Source organism: Homo sapiens, chromosome 5 (assembly GCF_000001405.40).
Source record: "Homo sapiens chromosome 5, GRCh38.p14 Primary Assembly".
NCBI classification, from domain to species: Eukaryota; Metazoa; Chordata; class Mammalia; order Primates; family Hominidae; genus Homo; species Homo sapiens.
In genome coordinates this window covers 161,910,901-161,930,700 of record NC_000005.10, presented here as the reverse complement: position 1 = coordinate 161,930,700, position 19,800 = coordinate 161,910,901, and the positions used below count along the sequence as shown (strand labels likewise).

General features: G+C 36.0%; 1 long non-coding RNA gene across 1 annotated transcript in view; it reads left to right on the top strand.

Moving 5' to 3' along the window:
• The window catches only part of LINC01202 (long intergenic non-protein coding RNA 1202), a 90,735-nt gene that overhangs the window by 70,496 nt on the left and 439 nt on the right, over positions 1-19,800 (top strand). Inside the window, exon 2 of the long non-coding RNA NR_126372.1 lies at positions 6,837-7,084. This is a non-coding gene — a long non-coding RNA (long intergenic non-protein coding RNA 1202). The remainder of the gene's footprint in view (positions 1-6,836; positions 7,085-19,800) is intronic.

Genomic DNA, 19,800 nt, shown 5'->3' with positions numbered 1-19,800 from the left:
TTATTTAAATGTTGCTACTAATTAGTACATATCCTAATCTACCTGCCTAAATACTAGTGTAATACTAGCAAAAAATGGTTACTGTATTTACCTGCCTAAATACTAGTGGAAAATGGTTACTGTATTAGTCAGAGTTCTCTTAAAGGGACAGAACTAGTAGGATATATATATATATATATATATCCTATTATATATTATATATATTTCTATATATACATTATATATATTTATATATATATATATGGAGAGAGAGAGAGAGAGAGTAGTCCAGGAGACTGTACACCCATCTGGTCTTTTAACAATGAATCCAACATTTATATAAATGTAGGAACAGCATCACATATACCTCATATAAGTATATGGGAGTTTATTAAGTATTAATTCACAAGGTCCCACAATAGGCTGTCTGCAAGCTGAGGAAAAAGGAGAGCCAGTCTGAGTCCCAAAACTGAAGAACTTGGAGTCCAATGTTCTAGGGCAGGAAGCATCCTGCATGGGAGAAAGATGTAGGCTGGGAGGCTAGGCCTGTCTTTCTCCTTTTTCAGGCTTTTATGCCTGCTTTATATTTCCTGAAAGTTGATTAGATTGTGCCCAGCAGATTAAGGATGGATCTGCCTTCCCCAGCCCACTGACTCAAATGTTAATCTCTTTTGGCAACACCCACACAGACACACCCAGGATTAATACTTAGTATCCCTCAACTCAATCAACTTGACACTCAGTATTAACCATCACAATTATATATGAGAATTTTTTTCACTTTTATTAAGCATAGCATATTTTGATTTTTTTAGCTAGAATATTTCTGAAGTAGTTGTATAAGGTATGCACAATTATTTACTATATTATATATACATAAATTGATTTTTTATTATTGACTCATGTATTCTGGAATATAGTATATTATAATATGAAATTTAGTTCTCTTGTTGCACATTGCATCTTCAGATAGGTTCATGTACATAATTACGATTTGTACCTCTTGACCTACACCTTCCCATTTTCTCCTCCTCACACTGATAACTACTTTTCTACTATCTCCACTTCTATGTATTTAACATTTTTTAGATTCCATGTATAAATAAAGTCATGCAGTATTTTTCTTTCTGTGTTTGGTTTATTTCACTTTGCATAATGTCTTCCAGGTTCATCTATACTGTCACAAATGGAAGCATCCTCTTATCTTTTAAGTCTGAATAATATTCCTTTGCACCACAATTTCTTTTTTATTGTTTATATCTAGAATGTATGTGACTATATATATATATATATATATATATATATATATATATACACCCGTATATATACATATGTGTGTATATTATATGTAATATATAGGTTATATAATGTAATATATAAGTTTCAGGACCCTCAAACTTCCCTGGGAGGGTGGAAGAAATCATTTCTCTAGTGCTTGATGCTCACCAGTTATTAACTCCATGTATACACAAGGCGTGTGAGTTCATATTAAAATCTATTTAGGTGTTGTAATTGGAGAATGGTGATTTTTTTTTTTTTTTGCCTAAATAATTGCAATTGTACTTTGGAGCATAGGACATGATTACATACACTGTTCTTAAAATCATCACTGGAAAACTTGTTTTCAATCAATTGTGAATCATTTCTTTTTTAATGTTTTATTCCTCCAAATTCAAATTTTGGATCTTATATTTCCAGTTTTCAAAAAGACAAGGGGATAGGAGAGGAAGAAAAAAAAAAGGAGATTGATCAATGATATTCTTTCAAACGAACAGTTCGTTTGAATTGCAACACTGTGCCAACTATGCCCTTAAAATCACATTTCTTTACTCAAGAGTACGCTTCAATTGTGAAAATAGATCATTTTATTTTCTCTTTTGAGGTCAGCTAGTTACAGATGGAACAGCCCGTTGCTGTGTTTATGCTGAAATGGGTTTTTGAGCTGTGCAGGTGCATAGGTGGTAATACACTGCATGATTACATTTAATTTATATTTCAATTCTAACTCTCCTGAGCCCTTACCCTACTTTCTCATTTTCTTCTTTTGTGACAGTGGTGCATAGGACGATGACTATAGATTTTCATCTGTAACTCCTAAAAACTTACTCAGGTTGGTATGCTAAAGCAACCTTTAGCATTTTCTTCTTTTGTGACAGTGGTGCATAGGACGATGACTATAGATTTTCATCTGTAACTCCTAAAACCTTACTCAGGTTGGTATGCTAAAGCAACCTTTTTTTCTACAATGTTTTTCTTTTGGTTTTGTTTTACACATTTTGGTGATATTTTTTTTCCTTGCTCATCTTACTTTGTTCCAGAAACAAGGAATTATCTAAAATGTGGGCTGCCATTACACAAGCTTAACAACTAAAATGATTTAATTCATACAAATTAGATTACATCAAATCTTATTAACATCCATATCTCCAATTAATTACTGTGAAATTCCACGTGCCAAGAAAATTGTTTTATTTTCTCAAAATGGGTGAAAAATACTGTATTTGTCACAGTTGTAGATGAGAAAAAAGCTGAAATCTGAGCTTTGTAAAGGCTATCATCATTAACAAATGTAAAATTTTGGAAGATTTATTAGAGTTACTCTTACATGTCCACCTACCAAGGTTTTCTATCTTCTTGCATTTTAAGCAACAGGTGCATGTTTGAAACTATTTATTCTAAATGTTCAATTTAATTCTAACATAAAGATTCTTCTTCAAATGAAACAAATGCATTTTCCCTAAAAATGCAAGCATCCTTACTTATAATTAGGCAATACAACTATGAAGATTGAGGGATTAAAGAAATTATTATGAATTATGTAAAGAAAATGAAGAGCAACTTGAAAAAATTCAGGTGTTGTAATGCATAGAATGTCTATAAATGCCAAAATTTACTAAGCACCTTCTAAGACATAGGGTTCTGTGTTTATGTCATATCAATAGATATTTGCTGAGTTATTGCTTTGTTCCTGAAAATGTGCTAGCTGCTCTAATACATACGGCTTCTCCTTGCCTTTTTCCTTCTACAGGTTAATATCTCTTGAACCAGTTTTCTTCTCTCTGTTCCTCCTACTACTATCTTATTCAGATCTCCATCCATAATCTCTCACTTCTATAACCTTAGGCCTTCAGGATGATCTACCTGTAATCCATATCTCATTGTGTCTATCTTTAGTGCAGACCTGCTCATGTCATTCTCCTGTATGAATTGCCCAGTGTCACGCTATTTTCTTTAGTTTAGCATCCAGATTTATCATGATGATGTGGTATGCATGTCTTGAGTCTGTTGCTCTTTGTCCTTTGCAGCTCCTTTTGCCTACATAGTGCACCTACGCATATTTGTTTCAGAAGAAATTACCTCTCCCATTTCATAGTGTTCTGTTAGGACTGTCAACAACAGTGTTGCTCTAGAGAATGAGGACATGAACCAAATGAGATCAATCGATCTTTTCCAAGAATTGAATACATAGTAGAGTGCCAAAAAGGACCAAAGTTGGTCAGAACTGAGTCAATGCAATGCAATGACTGTGCCCTAACGAAGATATCATGAATCTCTGCTACTGAGATCTCTGGGAACCGCTTTGTTTCTACATTTCTTGTGATCTGACTACACAGCTTCTATCTCAATTATGTGGTTTAACCAGTGTATTAGTCTGTTCCTATGCTGCTAATAAAGACATACCCAAGACTGGGTAATTTATAAAGAAAGGAAATTTAATTGACTCACAGTTCCACATAGCTAAGGAGGCCTCACAATCATGGCAGAGGTTGAAGGGGAAGCAAGACAAGTCTAATATGGTGGCAGGCAAGAGGACCTGTGCAGGAGAACTCCCCTTTATAAAACCATCAGATCACATGAGACTTATTAACAATCATGAGAACAGCATGGGAAAGACCCACCCCATGACTCAATTACCTCCCACTGGGTCCCTCCCACAACACGTAGGAATTATGGGAGCTACAATTCAAGATGAGATATGGATGGAGACACTGCCAAACCATATCAGTCCACCCCTGGACCTTCTCAACTCTCGTGTTCTCACATTTAAAAACTAATTATGTCTTCCCAACAGTCCCCCAAAGTCTTAACTCATTTCAACATTAACTCAAGAGTCCACAGTACAAAGTCTCATCTGAGACAAGGCAAGTCCCTTCCGCCTATGAGCCTGTAAAATCAGAAGGAAGTTAGTTATTTCCTAGCTACAATTCGTGTACTGGTATTGGGTAAATATACCCATTCCAAATGAGAGAAATTAGCCAAAACAAAAGGGTACAGGCCCCATGCAAGTCTGAAATCCAGCAGGTCAGTCAAATCTTAAAGCTCCAAAATGATCTCATTTGACTCCATATCTCACATCCAGGTCACACTGATGCAAGAGTCGGGTTCCCATAGTCTTGGACAGCTCCGCCCACGTGGATTTGCAGGATACAGCCTCCCTCTGGCTCCTTTCACAGGCTGGTATTGAGTGTCTGTGGCTTTTCCAGGTGCATGGTGCAAGCTGTCAGTGGATCAACCATTCTAGGGTCTGGAGGATGGTGGCCCTCTCTCACAGCTCCACTAGGGGGTGCCCCAGTAGGGACTCTGTGTGGCGACTCCAACTTGACATTTCCCTTCCACACTGCTCTAGCAGAGGTTTGCCATGAGGACCCCATCCCTGCAGCAAACTTCTACCTGGACATCCAGGCATTTCAGTACCTCCTCTGAAATCCAGGTGGAGGTTCCCAAACTTCAATTCTTGACCTCTGTGCACCTGCAGGCTCAACACCATGTAGAAGCTGCCAAGGATTGGGGCTTGCACCCTCTGGAGCCATGGCCTGAGCTGTACCTTGGCCCCTTTTAGCCACTGCTAGAGCAGCAGTGATGCAGAGCACCGAGTCACTAGACTGCACACAGCAAGGGGGGCCTGGGCCCAGCCCACAGCCCAACCATATCAGCCAGTTTAAATTATTTTTATTTCTAAAAAGTTATCCATAGTTGAATTTGTTTCCAAGAACATTTATTAATAGATCCGTCTATTGTTCTTCAACTTTATCTCTTACCATTTTTCACTTTGTACCTGAGACTTGCTGAATTCTCCCTCCTTCACTAATTTATCATCCTTTCATTTGGCTCTAGACGTTTGTTCCTCATGTCCCCTTATCATGGAACCCCATTGCTTTTATCTGTATTTCTCTAATTACTACACATCCTCTAGAACTCAAATTCATGTTTTCCAGGAAGACTTCCTTCATGCCTCAGACACTCCTACTCTGTGTTCCTATAACCCGTTAATTACATTTTATAGTTTTTGCCTATCTACTGTAAAAAAGGAACTTCAGTTGTAGAATCTGTGTCTATCATCTTCATGTTTTATTTATAGTGCCTAGATCACTGCCTCATCTATAAAAACAAATTAGCTAATATTTGTTGAATAACGAATGAATAAATGTAAGAAAAACTCGTTTAACTCTATAAGACATTATATAATCATGCTCCAAATTGATATAATCAAGGCCCAGGAAGCTGGTCCTCTGGTTACTAAACAAAATGAGAGGTATTAGTGTTAGGTTGGATAACTGGAAAGGCTGTAAGAAGTACATGGTGCTTGATTTTGTTGATGGCAGGCAGAATTCAAGGAGCTGTAAAAAAAATGAGCGTATTTTGGCCCCAACATAGCAAACTTTGTATTCAAAATGGTTCGTGTGAAATCTAGAGGTTTTTTTTTCTTTTTCAAGACATCACTATGCAGATGTCTTGACAAATAAGTTTTACTTCATCTGTCATTTCTGATTTCACTGAGATAATCGGGCCTCATCCAGTCTTGGCAAGAATGAGTGTGGTGATTGATTTGCAATGCCTGCCTGGGAAAAGAAGTGAGGAAGTGTGAATAACAATGTTAGGAATTTTTAATTCTATGATGGGATAATATATTAACTTCTAGTAGCTTTTTAAATTAAATTATTTCAGAAATTTCCCAAGAAGATATAGAAAAGTCCAGCTTGACTGATAAATCTATAGAAAACTAACATAAAATTATAAAAACATAAAATTTTTAGCATGCCTCAAACATATCTATTCACTTTACGGATGTGGAAGACAAGGGCTGGAGAGGGTAAAAGAGCGTGTCCAAGATTGCCACCAATCAATCAACAATAAAATTTACATTTTTTTTCCTATTTTCTATGCAAGAGCTTTCAGCTTACATAATCCAATTCAAACTTTCCTTTTAAATCAAACACTGAATTAATAAATTATTGATTATTTATGATGACTTGACTAATTTACTTCAGTCCTTCTCTTTTTAAATTTGTAAAGTATGGTTGATAATTGGATAACATAGTAACTATATACCTGACACATAGTAAGAAACTAGTAAGTGTTCTCTCATATTTCCATTGTGACATCTTAGTTCAAGCATAACGTTTAAGTGACTCAACTTTCACATTACTTGAAAGAATTTTGTGTCACTTTTGAAGCCTTGGTAAAACCAGCTATGTTTACAGGAGTAGGGCCACATGTTATAAAGGGCCACCCCTTTCATTGTGACTTCTCTAACAAAGCCTTTCCATTAATAAAATAATCAGTGGTAAGTGGGGATAGCAAATACAGAATCTGGGTTATAGGCCAGGCACTGATCTAATTGTTTTGTTAACATTACCTTATTTAATCACCATTGTAATTCCATGGGGAAAATGTCCCCATTTTATGGATAAGGAAGATGAGATTTGCACCAGTTAACTTACCTGAAGCTATGAAGGTAACAACCGTGTTTAAAAATGCAAAGCCTCCCTGTCTCCAAAGCCAATGCTTTTAATCATCATAAGAGACTCTATGAAGTCACTCGCCTTCCTTCTTTTTTTCTTGTGATTTTCATGCAGAAAGTAACAACCTCCACCAACACTACTTGAATCAGTACTGAACGAATGTCAGGTCCTTGGGAAATTCTCCAATCCTGTCTCCTGTCCTGGCCGGGTGTGCTCCTGGTGCACCATTCGACTAAGTCAATTTGAACTATTTGGGAGACCTTTGTACCTACGTTTCCTTCTGCTTGGAAGATCCTTTCTGTTTTGTCAGCTCTTACTTCCATGTTGTGGAAAACTGATCTGACCTCCTAGTCCTGAATCAGGTATTGCTCCTTAGCACCGCAAACCCTTTGGCCTCAGGTGTTACTCATTCCACTGCATTGGGGTGAGACCTTTTGTATTTACCTTCAACACATTACATATGATGTGGTATTAAAACTATTGGTTAACTTCTCTCTTTCTTCACAGACGATGAGATGAGTCCAGGAACTCAATGTTACTCATCCTTCTAGTACTTGTGTCAAGCACAGCAAATATAACCAAATAGATGATTCAAAAATATCAAATGATTGAATAATTAATGATATAATTATTGAATAATTCTATGTGCAAGATATTTTGTTTAATTTTTCCATGCATTACCTCATTCAATTTACCCAATCTGTCTAGAAACTAAATAATAATATTCCTACTCTAAATAGTAGGAAAATAAGTCATAGACAGGATATAGGATTTAATGTTGTTCACACCGAGCGTTAATGTCAGTGGACATTTCAAATTTGTCTCTTTAAAGTAGAATTCATACTCCTAAGCACTGCACTTTAGTAGATGTTTTTGTGAATGGGAATAATGCGTACATTAAGACATGTTATTTTAGAACATGGTCTTAGCTTCCACAGCTGCTCTCCTGTTGGAAACAAAATGGCTTAAACAGACCATTTCCTCATTGTTCTCACAATGTGCCCCAGTAGATTCTAAACTGTCACCTTTGTCTTTTTGTTCTCCATCCCAGGATACTCACTACTTCTGGACTTTATATTCAAACTTTACCTGTCCATTTGGAGTACACGGAGGAGCATTTTTTCTTGATTTTCAAGCTCATGAGGGTGCATTCACCTCTGAACCCACCAGTGCATTCTGTCCCTTCCATTCACCCACTTTCTTGTGGATTTAGTAAAATTTTTATTGCTATTAAGAGTACAGTCCTTGGAGTGAATCAAAGCTAGGTTTGTAAGTGACTCAACACCATATTAACTTTGCCTCTAACGTGATATTGATTTTATGTTTGACACATGTCTCTCTGGTGAACCACTTGACCAGTGAGAGTCTTGAGAGCCAGTGATGGGTGTGAGAAGGGGCAGATAGGACCTGAGACTTTGGGTACCAGGCAAGGCAAATGAGGGCCTGGTTGCCAGTGAAGAGAATAAGGGGAATAAAGAAAGATAAACCTTCAATTTAATGGAGGCACTAAGAATTAGAAATCAACCTCAAATGGGAATTCTAGAGTTTGCAAAAGACATTGGGGTGACGGAAGTATACCCCTAAGGCAGACATTCAGAGGGAGCCGAGTTTTAGTCCAGGGACCTGACCTAGTTCATGCAGGGAACAATCATCTGAAGTACAATAAGAGGTTAAAATCATACATTCTATTTGAAGTGCCTTTAGAAATCTTTAGACTTGTGGCTATTTCTGCCCTTTTCTGGGTCTGATAAACAGGTTCTTCTTGTGTTGTTGTTGGTGTTTTGTTTTGCTTTCCCTTAGGTTTGTAATTTCTTTGTATTCTCATAGATGAACAGAGGATATTTGGCCCCTCCTTAAAAGTAGGTCTCCTTTGCCCCCAAGGATTTTGTATTGAGTGAAGAAGAGCCAAAAGGGACAGTTGGGAAGGGAATATTCACTATTTTTTTCTGCATTATTCTAAGGGGCCCGAAATCCATGCCACCTGGATCATTTAGCAGTCCTGATTAAAGAGCACAGGGCCTGGCAGTCTGTGGAAGTTTGCTCCCTGGTGCTGCCTGGACTGCCTTGGGCTTCTAGCAGCCTTATGGTCTCCAGACAATCTGTCATTTCTGCTATGTCCCAATAACCTTTGGCAACAACAAAAGCAAACAGGTACCTAAAGGCTGAGGGATTCCAAGTTAGAGAAATTGTCCTTTATTTAAAAAAATTGTGTCATCCGTACCATAAGAAGTTATTGAGAAGTTTCATTTAGAATCAAGATCACCTATGGGCTTGTAATTTTTCTGCATCAAAGAATGTGTGGTTGCTGTTTTTGCTATGCTTTTTACTCTGTCTTCACCAGGATCTGAGTGTAGAAGGCAATATTTAAATATTTGTGGGGATAACTGCATAATTACGTGTAAGTATATGCTTCTTTCTCTCTCCCTCTCGCTGTATGTATTGAGAGAGAGAGAGAGAGAGAGACAAATACACAAATACACACATACATACATACTTTCATAAATGTGTAGTTATTTCCTCAAGTATAAGAAAGATAAATAGTCAAATATCCAGATATATGAAGAAGGCACTAGGTAATAAATCCTAACTGTTTAGTTTCCATTGAGATCTGCATAATGTTACAGACTTAGGGGCTCCAAATGCCTGCAAGGTTCAGAAAGATTGTATCAATAAATGAAGCCAGACCTGGCTGCTGGGTTTTGGGGCCCAACAAGGGTGTTGGGGCCCATCAGGGGTGTTGGGAAAGAAACAAGAAGAGCAGAGACATTCATGCCCAATCTGGAAGGGGAAGTAGCCACTATTTTCTTGCAGAATGCAGGTCTAATGTTGCCAGCTTTTCTTTTGATTCCAAAGAAGCCCACAAACCGGTGTGTATACAATTTCTCCTGAGTTAGAAATAATGATTCTATTTTGTTTTTAACAAAAACACACCAGAAGGCTGAAGCTTGCCGATGGGTCTTATTATAGCCTGTGCCTTCATGGCCGAATTGTTTAAGTGACTCTAACTCTTTTCCATTTCTCTTCTACAGTAAGAATCTCTAAAATTTTAAAACTAATTATTTTTAATATGCCTTCAGTTATTACTTTAGTATAGAGATAGATTAAAACAAGCATAATATTAAAAGATATGAGTGTTATACATTTTCTCTCAATTCAGGGTCAATACACGTAGAAAATATATTTTAGAGTGATAATTACTCTCTGTGATGGAAGAATAATATTTTTTATTCATTGTCTCTTTAAAGTGTATATAATAGAGTGTTTATGTATTCATCAACTGTGAATCTGGGTTTTCTCTCTTAAAATTCCAAAACCTATTTACTGAGGTTTAACTATCTTCTTCATCTGTTATAAACAAAATTTTCCCTTTTTGGGGGGTTCAGCTAAAGCTACTTGGTAGAAAAAACTGGTATGCCAACTTCTGAAATTCCCCTTACAAAGCTCATTTCATTTTTATGCAATCTCTCTTTTAGGGTATTGAAATTTATAGTTTTCAGCCTATCTTGGGGAGTGGGAGAATCCTGATACTATTTATTTAAACTTAAAAAAATATGGTTCTCTAATTTTCCAAGCCCAACATCAGCTTAATCTATTTCTCATTCAATTGGCCCTTTCTAATTTTCCGGTTGTAGTTTTTCTTTATATATCCATTACAAGTTTACAACAAATTCCAAATTTGTACTTGCAATTTTCTACATTACCATTTCCCCCCAGGCATTAGTCAATCAATAGGAAACAAATAAAACTCACACGTGAATACATACCCAAAGAGAAGATATACTGTTTTGGTTCCTGGAAATGAGATTTCACTTGGTTGACTCACTAAGCTCATGGTTGGGTTTTCCAACTTCTCCTACCATTTAGAGAAATAGGTTTTATTTTCCTTCTTCTAAAAACCACCTGGGATGTACAAATATTTTTGTTCCTACAAAGCAATTCTTATCTATTTTAAAATCAACTCTATCTCTCTGGCTCTCTTTTGAAACAGTTATGATGTTACAGTTATTGGCAGAGTTGAAAAAACATGAATTTTTAATTCATGTTAAAAAAGCAGCAGAGCACTGGGGCCACTGGCATTTGATTAAGTATAAGGGCTTCTAATAAAACTTAGCATTAAATCCAGTCTTTCAACTATGGTCTAAAACCCCCTCCAGGATATCCCCTGCATATCTATCCAGCATCTCCTCCAATTCTCTATCTCAGCCACAACACTTGAGCTATGTGTACTTTATTTCTCTTCTAGAATTTTAACAAATGTATCCCAGCCACAGGTCCTTTGCTCTTACTTTTCTCTCTGGCTCATGTATATTGTCAGTTGCTGGCTTTCATATCTTAGAACTTGTGTTGATTTCCCACGGAGATCATCCTTGACCACCATAGGTGCTATTTATAAATAGGTTTATATTATTAGTTGTACTTATCTTAATGATTTAATTACATTTCTATCATTCGTCTAAACCACTGGAATGTAAAGTCTATGAGATCAGGAACCTGTATTGTCTTGTTCACTTTGGCATTTCCAGTGCTTAAGACAGTGTCTGGCACTTAGAGAAAAATATTCCCTTTCTCTCTCTCATGTAAGAAACATGACGACTGATAAAATAATTCTACCTGAGTTTCTTTTATAAAAAATTCCTAACAAGCATAAATAATTCTAAATTCATGAAGTTGTAAGAGTTAGTGAGGTCATGCGTGTGAAGCACTTACCAGAGTGTCTGGCAGTGCATTAGGTGAATAAGTAATAGCTGCCGTAGTTATTATCAACATGTTGCCAAAGATATGAATGAAAGACCTCCAGAAAATTTCTGGTCAATGTCTTTAAAACCTATAGGAACATGTAACAAATTCTAAGTAAGAAAACAGAGTTTCTCATTCTTAGATTTTGGAGATAGTATTCAGCATTTTTCTTTTTCATCTTTTTTTTTTTTAGTCTTTTTAGAATTTTATTTTAGATTCAGCTAGGTAAATGTGCTTGTCTGTTGCATGGGCATTACATGTGTAATTGTGGGAGTTGGGCTTCTAGTATATCCATCACTCAAATACTAGATATTGTACCCAGTGCATAATTTTTCAGCTCTTACACCCTTTCCACCCTTCCCCCTCTGGAGTCCCCATAGTCTATTTTTGTACTGGGCATGTCTCTAACGCAGCATATAATCAAAGTAACTGTTATCTGTCACCTTATACCACTAGTTCTCAAATATTTTAGTTTCATGACTCTTTTGCCATATAATAAATTATTGAGGACCCCAAAGACTTTTGTATATTTTTTGTACCTATCAGTATTTGCTGTTTTAAAATTTGAAAGATAATTTTGGGAGGCCAAGGTGGACGGATCACCTGAGGTCAGGAATTGGAGATTAGCCTGGCCAACATGGTGAAACCCCATCACTACTAAAAATACAAAAAGTAGCCAGGTGTGGTGGCACATGCCTGTAATCCCAGCTACTTGGGAGACTGAGGCAGGAGAATCGCTTGAACTCAGGCAGCGGAGGTTGCAGTGAGCCAAGATATCACAACACTGCACTCCATCCAGCCTGGGTAACAAAGTGAAACTCCGTCACCACACACACACACACACACACACACACACACACACACACACACACACACAAATTAAAAGGTAAACATGCATGTTATTTAAACATAAAATAATTAAACTGATTAAATACCAAAAATAATTTCAATGAAAATTATTTTTACAAAAAAAGAGTGATACTGATTTATATTTTTGCAAACTTCCTTAATGTCCAGCTTAATAGAAGACAGCTAGATTCTTATATCTAATTCTTATTCATTCTGCTGCAATACATTGTTTTGGTTTGAATATATGAATAAAAGCTGGTCTCAAATAAATATGTAGTTGAAAGCGGAGAAATATTTAAATATTCTTTTAAGATAATCGTGAATATTATCTGATATTACACAAAAATTTGACAAATGATTGTTTTTTAAAGGGTAGTGTTAATATAGAAGCTGAAATTGTATTTATAAAATTTTCTTACTGTGTTACAACAAAATCCAATAGTCCATCTGGGACATGAATGGATATTCTACCCATACGTGTTTAAAAAAAATTATTCACTAGTCATTTAGAAAATGTTGTTTCAATCACTGAGTTATATAAATCTTTACTTGAAAGCTCAAATCCTATTACTGGCAAAAAATACTATTCATTGTTTTCTTCAAAGTGATAAGATGACTTCATTCATTTTGAGAAAATGTCTGGCCAATACCCAAATTTGATAGTGCCAATGGTTTTTTACGTACAGATGGTATTCTGTGAAACAAGGCCCCAGATAAGAATTCATGCAATTATTTAAGAACTTCTCCTTAAAATAACATAATCATTCAGCTTTCAGCAAAAGTGTTTTATAAATACTTTCCATTTCATCACACAGAATACCAAGGAGTTGTGGATTTAATGGTTGAGATATAATAAAATCAATAGTTTTACTTCTTTACTGCGTATACTTTTAAGTAAAACCGACTTTTTTTGTTTTTGTTTTCCTGTGATGGCTGGATGGTAAACAACATAATGACTACTGTAATTTTGGGTTTGAGTGTCTTGATCTATTCTAACGTTCAAGACATTTTACCCACAATGCTATTGTCCCATCAGTGCAAATGTCAGTTGAGTGAAACAAAACAAAAGGTCTTAGTATCATTAGAAAAAAATAGACTTGACCATGTGGATCCCCTATAAAGATCACAAGGATACAAGAGGTCTACGTAGCACATTATATTATTGCCAAACATTTGAACACATATCCAGACAGACAGCTTAATCCTCAATTCATTTTTACTCATTCAAACGAAGCTCAATTTTCCATTGGAATACATAAAATTATAATATGAAAGAAACAAGAATAATCATATCTGAATTCAGCTTACCTTCCAAATAAAATGTCACTTTATTAACTCAGTTGGGCCATATTGAAGAAAGTGAACAAGCAGTTCTTCAACACTATCTACCATATTAACTACCTAAAATTTTGAGGTAATAAAGTATCTTGATTCTGGAATGCTGGATGTAAATGTTTAATATTTTATGGATAAACCTACATTTATGGCTATACTAAGAGGCAGTCATGCCACCCATCTCTATAAAAGGGAACATTATCTTTTACATAATTCACATGAAAAACAGTGTTCTTGAAACAATTTTTAATCATGTTATGAAACTTCGTAAAAATTTCTTGTCTCAATTTCTCAACTTACAATCAAACTAGTGAAACAAGACCCTTCAGGTAAAGGTAAATGTGAGTCAAGATTGAGTCACTGAATTTGTACAAGTTAAAAAAGAAATCTAGGTCACTTGCTCATTGCAAAAATGAATGTAAGTTTCAAATAAATTCTATTTTATGTCAAAATAAATATTCACCTATATATAAAAAACATTTAAAAATGTTTGAGGTGTATATTCATTGGAGAAAATAGCTTGCCAAAAAAAAGAGTGCTTGAATTGTGAGAGTCTGAACTATTTAGACAATAAACTGTCTCCTGAATATTGCTATGCAGATAGCAATGCTAGGTGGCATCCTCTCTATTGTCTGATTGGAGTGGAAAAACCTGCTTCTTTATGATTTTTTTTGCAGGAGTCATTTACATTTAATACTTATTATCTCTGTATTTTCAGCTGTAAACACACCCTGCCCTAATCAAACAAAAGCAAATAATCTTCAATGAGTAACTCTAACTTAATGTAAAATCATGAGGGAGCCTTGAAGTCTAAAGAATGAGAGACACCTGGAATAGGTTAGGCATAAGAAAACGGAGTTAAAAGCATTCATCTGTTAGGCAGGTTGCCTTTCTGCCTGATTGCCCCAATAATCTGCTTCTGGACATCTTTTAGAAAGCTGTTGGCTTTAACAAAAAACTTCTACGTCAAAATGGCTTAAATAATAAGGGCATATGTTATCTTACCTAACAAGAAACCTAGGAGTAGTAGAGCCATGCATTTGGTTAATTCAGCAGATCATCTATGTTAAAGTCTTCATTCAGGTTCTTTCCATCACCCCTTTCTACATTTGCATTGTCAATTTTCTCCTGAGGTGAGTTTCTTATCAGGGTCCCAAGATAGCTGCTGCAATTCAAGGAAACGCAGTCTTACACAACCACATCCAGGGAGAAAAGAGCCTGCCTTTTCCTCTGTGCCTCTTCAAGGGAATAAGAAATCTTTTCCATAGCCCAATAGGAAACTTCACCTTCACCTCATGTTCAAAGTTATGTCACAAGCTCATGCCTAATGACTCACTGGCAAAGATAACGGGAGAAGAAAATAAGGTAGGTAAAAGTTACGTCAGACTTAACTGTTTGCACACTCCGTTTCAAATAATCACCAGAAACCATCCCTTTACCCAAAAGAAAAAAAAAGGGCATTTGTTCTGTTTTAGCTGCATTAAAGTATAATTGATATACAAATATTGTACACATTTGGCCAGGCCTGGTGGCTCAGGCCTGTAATCCTAGCACTTTAGGAGGCCAAGGCAGGCATATCGTTTGAGGTCAGGAGTTCGAGACCAGCCTGGCCAACATGGCGAAACCTCGTCTGTACTAAAAATACAAAAATTAGCTGGATGTGGTGGCATGTGCCTGCAATCCCAGCTACTTGGGAGGTGGGGGCAGGATAATCCCTTGAACCCGGGAAGCGGAGGTTGCAGTGAGCCAAGATCACGCCATTGCACTCCAGCCTTGGGGACAAGAGCAAAACTCCATCTCAAAAAAAAAAAAAAAAAATTTGTACACATTTAACATACACATCTTGATGAATTACTTCATATGCATATACCAGTGATAGCATCACCACAACCAAGATACTAAATATATTCATCACCCCCAAAATATTTCCATGTTTCATTTTTGTAAGAACACTTCACATGAGATCTATCCTTTTAAGATATATTACAGTGTACAATATTGTGTTGTTATCTATAGGTACTATGTTATACAGTAGGTCTCTAGAACGAACGCATTTTGCAAAACAGAAGCTTTTTACCCACTGAGGAGCAGTTCTCCATTTCCATAAACCTTCACCCCAAGTCTCGGGCAACCATCATTCTATTCTTTGCTTCTATGAGTTTGACTGTGTTCAATACCACACATAAGTGGAATAAGGAAGAGAAATTTATTTCTTTTAATTTAGTCTGTCCATCCTACCACCTGCTCTAGTACATTGACCTTACATGAGGAAAATAGCCTAACCGTGTCTATGGATGAGTGTAATATTTATATTCTAACAAGTGTAGTTTAAGTGTATTTTGGTTAAATGTTAAGGTTATTGTTAGAATTGCAACTTTTACTTTTGTCAGAGTGTATAAAAGAATTATAAACGTCTGTACACTTGAAAAGCCTGTGTGGTTTAAATAAATAATCTCATAATAGCCTGGCGGGCATTTGAGGACTAGGGCTTTCGAGTAGAAACCCTTCTAAAAGCTTTCAATGGGTAGAGGTAGGAATTTAGTAATAGCTGAATGCCACCTGTTAGAATATATTACTTATTGAGACAACATATGTTTTAAGCCAACAAAATAACAGTTCATGATCATTAAATCTAAGTTGGGTTACTCTTTGTGTGGGAAGTATAATTATATGAAATTTATTGATGTTCATACAATAGAATGATCATCTCAAGCTTCTTCTTCTCCCTAATCCAACACCTACCTACAAAAAACCCTTCACTTGTCTTGGTAACATTGATAGTAATGCATTATTTAGATATAAAAATGTGAATAAGGAATCTTGGAAATAGCATTGGCTAGGGAATTGAGATCACATTTCAGATATCACCTTTGCCATAGACTGTGCAAATTGGGTAATTCACTTCTCTGTGATGTAGTGACCTCATCTATGATGTGAAGTTACTTCCCTGGATGTACTTTTCAAGTTCCATAACCTGAATTTTCATTCAGAAAATAAGTGATTCTGATTCCTAGTATTTAAATGTTTACAAATGATCCATTTGGGTTCTAAACCTTCATCTTTTTTCCTTTCAAGTGAACAGTACTTTTGTGTTTTGGTATTTTTATTCAACACCACTTATGACCTAGTATTTTAGTAGATGCAGGCTTTTTGGATGAAGATTAAATTATGAAGATGAGTAGGATGATGACGATGCTAGTTTGGTCCAAAGATTATATTTTATCCCAGTGAGACAGAGTTTTATAAAGAAAATAGTGCTTTTATTTCTGCTGCATTCTTGTTAAATGTTTAAATTCATGATAAATAATGCTTGCTTATGTTTTCAAACTTGTGAGAATTAATTATTTGGTTCCAAATGTGGAAGAGCTGTTGAATACCATTAAATAGATTATTAAACCATTATGTAGTACAGTGGGAAAATCTTAGAAATGTACCATGTTTTATAGTCACAGACTTTAGTACTTCAAGACTCAGAGCCTGTTGTTTAATAAATAAGATAATTAGTAGATTTCTTAAATTCAAAGTTGTTTTATATTTATTTATTTATTTATTTATTTATTTATTTATTTTGAGATGGAGTCTCCCTCTGTTGCCCAGGCTGGAGTGCAGTGGCAGGATCTTGGCTCACTGCAATCTCCTCCACTCAGGTTCAAGCGATTCTCATGCCTCAGCCTTCCAAGTAGCTGGGATTACAGGTGCCTGCCACCACACCTGGCTAATTTTTGTATTTTAGTAGAGGCGGGGTTTCACCATGTTGGCAAGGCTGGTCTCGAACTCCTGACCTCAGGTGATCCACCCACCTCTGCCTCCCAAAGTGCTGGGATTACAGGCATGAGCCACAATGCCAGACCCAAAGTTTTAACTCTTAATTGCTTATTATAGGAAACTTCCTTGATACAGACATTTAACATAAATATCTGTTGCTATTTAGTTCACTGCCACATTAGAGGAAGCTTAATGACAGATCTATTTCAAAAATTGTTGCTTAGAACACCTCTTCTTCTAGGGCTAGGAAAATCCATATATGTGCCTATATTTGTTTCTTAGGACTCTTGTATCAAATTATCACAACTTCCTGGCTTAAAACAACAGAAATTTATTTTCTCAATTTTCCGGGAGCCAACGGTCAAAAGTTAAGGTGTTGGTCAAAAGTTAAGTCTCCCTCTGAAGGCTTAAAAGTTAAGCCTCCCTCAGTTAAGCCTCCCTCCGAAGGCTCCATGGGGAGGGTCTTTGCTTGTCTCTTCCATCTTCTAGTGGCATCAGGAATCTCCTGTGGCTGCATCACTCCGCTCTTCAGGGCTTTCTCCTCTGTGTGTGTTGTCTCTGGTCTGTGTTATCTCTCTCTTCCTTCTTATAATGACTTTTAAGGGTTTGGCATTTAATTTAGGGCCAGATAATTCAGGATGATCTCATCTCAAAATCCTTAATTACATCTGCAAACATCCTTTTTCCAAATAAGGTCACATTCACAGGTTACGAGGTTAGAACATGGACATATATTTTGAAGAGCTACCATTCAGCCCCCTATAGTTCTGCTCATATGTGTCCCAAAGAACCTTTGGCCTATTATGCTACCTGTGTTTTCTTAAAGGGAGAGGTATTCTGAGAGAGAGAATATATACAAATTATAATCATATTTGTATTCCTAGTGTCTAGAACATTTCCTGACACATAAGCAATTCATAACATGTATCTACTCAATGAATTAATTTCTTGTAGTACCCATAGCCTGAAAGTTACATCTTGGGTTAAATCTCTCCCTCTCTCTCTCTCTCTCTTTCTCTCTCTCTCCCCCCAACCGCCGATTCTCTCTCTGTCTGTAAACTGTAATAGTTAAGGGTTAAGACAACACAGTAACAGGTTTAATGTAAAGGAACCAATTCATATTTTTATTTGTTGTTAGAATTTGAGAAATGTGTATTAGTGTATTATAATCCTGACTCTACCTTTAGCTGGGGGCTTATCCATTGTGGCTTCTTATTTTATTTATAAAATAAAAGAATTAATCTAGATAACTTTTTCAATCCACTTAAACTCATAAAAAATGACCTAGTTTCAATCCTAAGTTTCTAAGCCTGGTTTGGCACTTTTTATCTATATAACAACGGGCAAGTTTTATAACCTTTTTAAGTCTCAGTTTTCTCATCCATAAAATGGAGATTGTCATCCCTATGAAGTAGGGATGTAAGAATTAAATAATGTGTGTATATATATATATATATATATATGGCGTAATCCCTGACACTAAAAATCAACACATTATCGTGAGCTTCTAATAATGATTGTTATCACTGTCATACAATAGCTTATTTTCTGATAGAAAGTTATATTTAGGATACATGGAGTTCAGAGATATAATTGTACATCAATATTTAACTTCTTTCTGGTCACTAGCTAAAATTTGTTAAGGGGATAAAGTCCCCTTTTTTGGACCACATATCAAAAGTTTATTTGAATTAATTTTGAAATGTTTAATTGACAAAATATTGTATAGATTTAAGGTATGCAATGTGATGATTTAATATACTTTGTGTAATGATGCATATCAAATTAATTACATCACTACCTATGCTGTTTGTTAGATCCCCTGAACTTGTTCATCTTATGCTTAAAGATTGTACCTTTTGACCAACATCTGCCCATTTTCCTCACCCCCATCTTACCTTTATATAGTGCCTTCTTCAAGAAAATAGTTTTTGAATCAAAGTACGTTCCTGATTCTTTAATAAGTATTACATAAGGTTTGATAAAAGAAAAACTTCAGCTGAATTAAATTTAAAGGTGTTTAATTGAGGAATGAACGATTTGTGAATTGAGCAGCCCCCAGAATCACAGCAGATTCACAGAGATTCCAGCACAGCCACGTGGTGGAAGAAGATTTATAGACAAAGGGAAATGAAGTACAGAAATCAACAGTGATGTACAGAAATAGGTGGATTGGTTACAGGTTGGCATTTGCCTTATTTGAACACAGTTTGAACACCTAACAGTCTATGAATGGTTGAAGTATGGCCATTGGGATTGCCCAAAACTCAGCTATTGTTACAGATACCTATTCCTAAATTAGGTTTTCAATTTTGTCTATTAAGCTAGGTTACAGTTCATCCACAAGGACCCAAATATAGATGAACGGAATCCTTCTCAGGCCATATTTAGC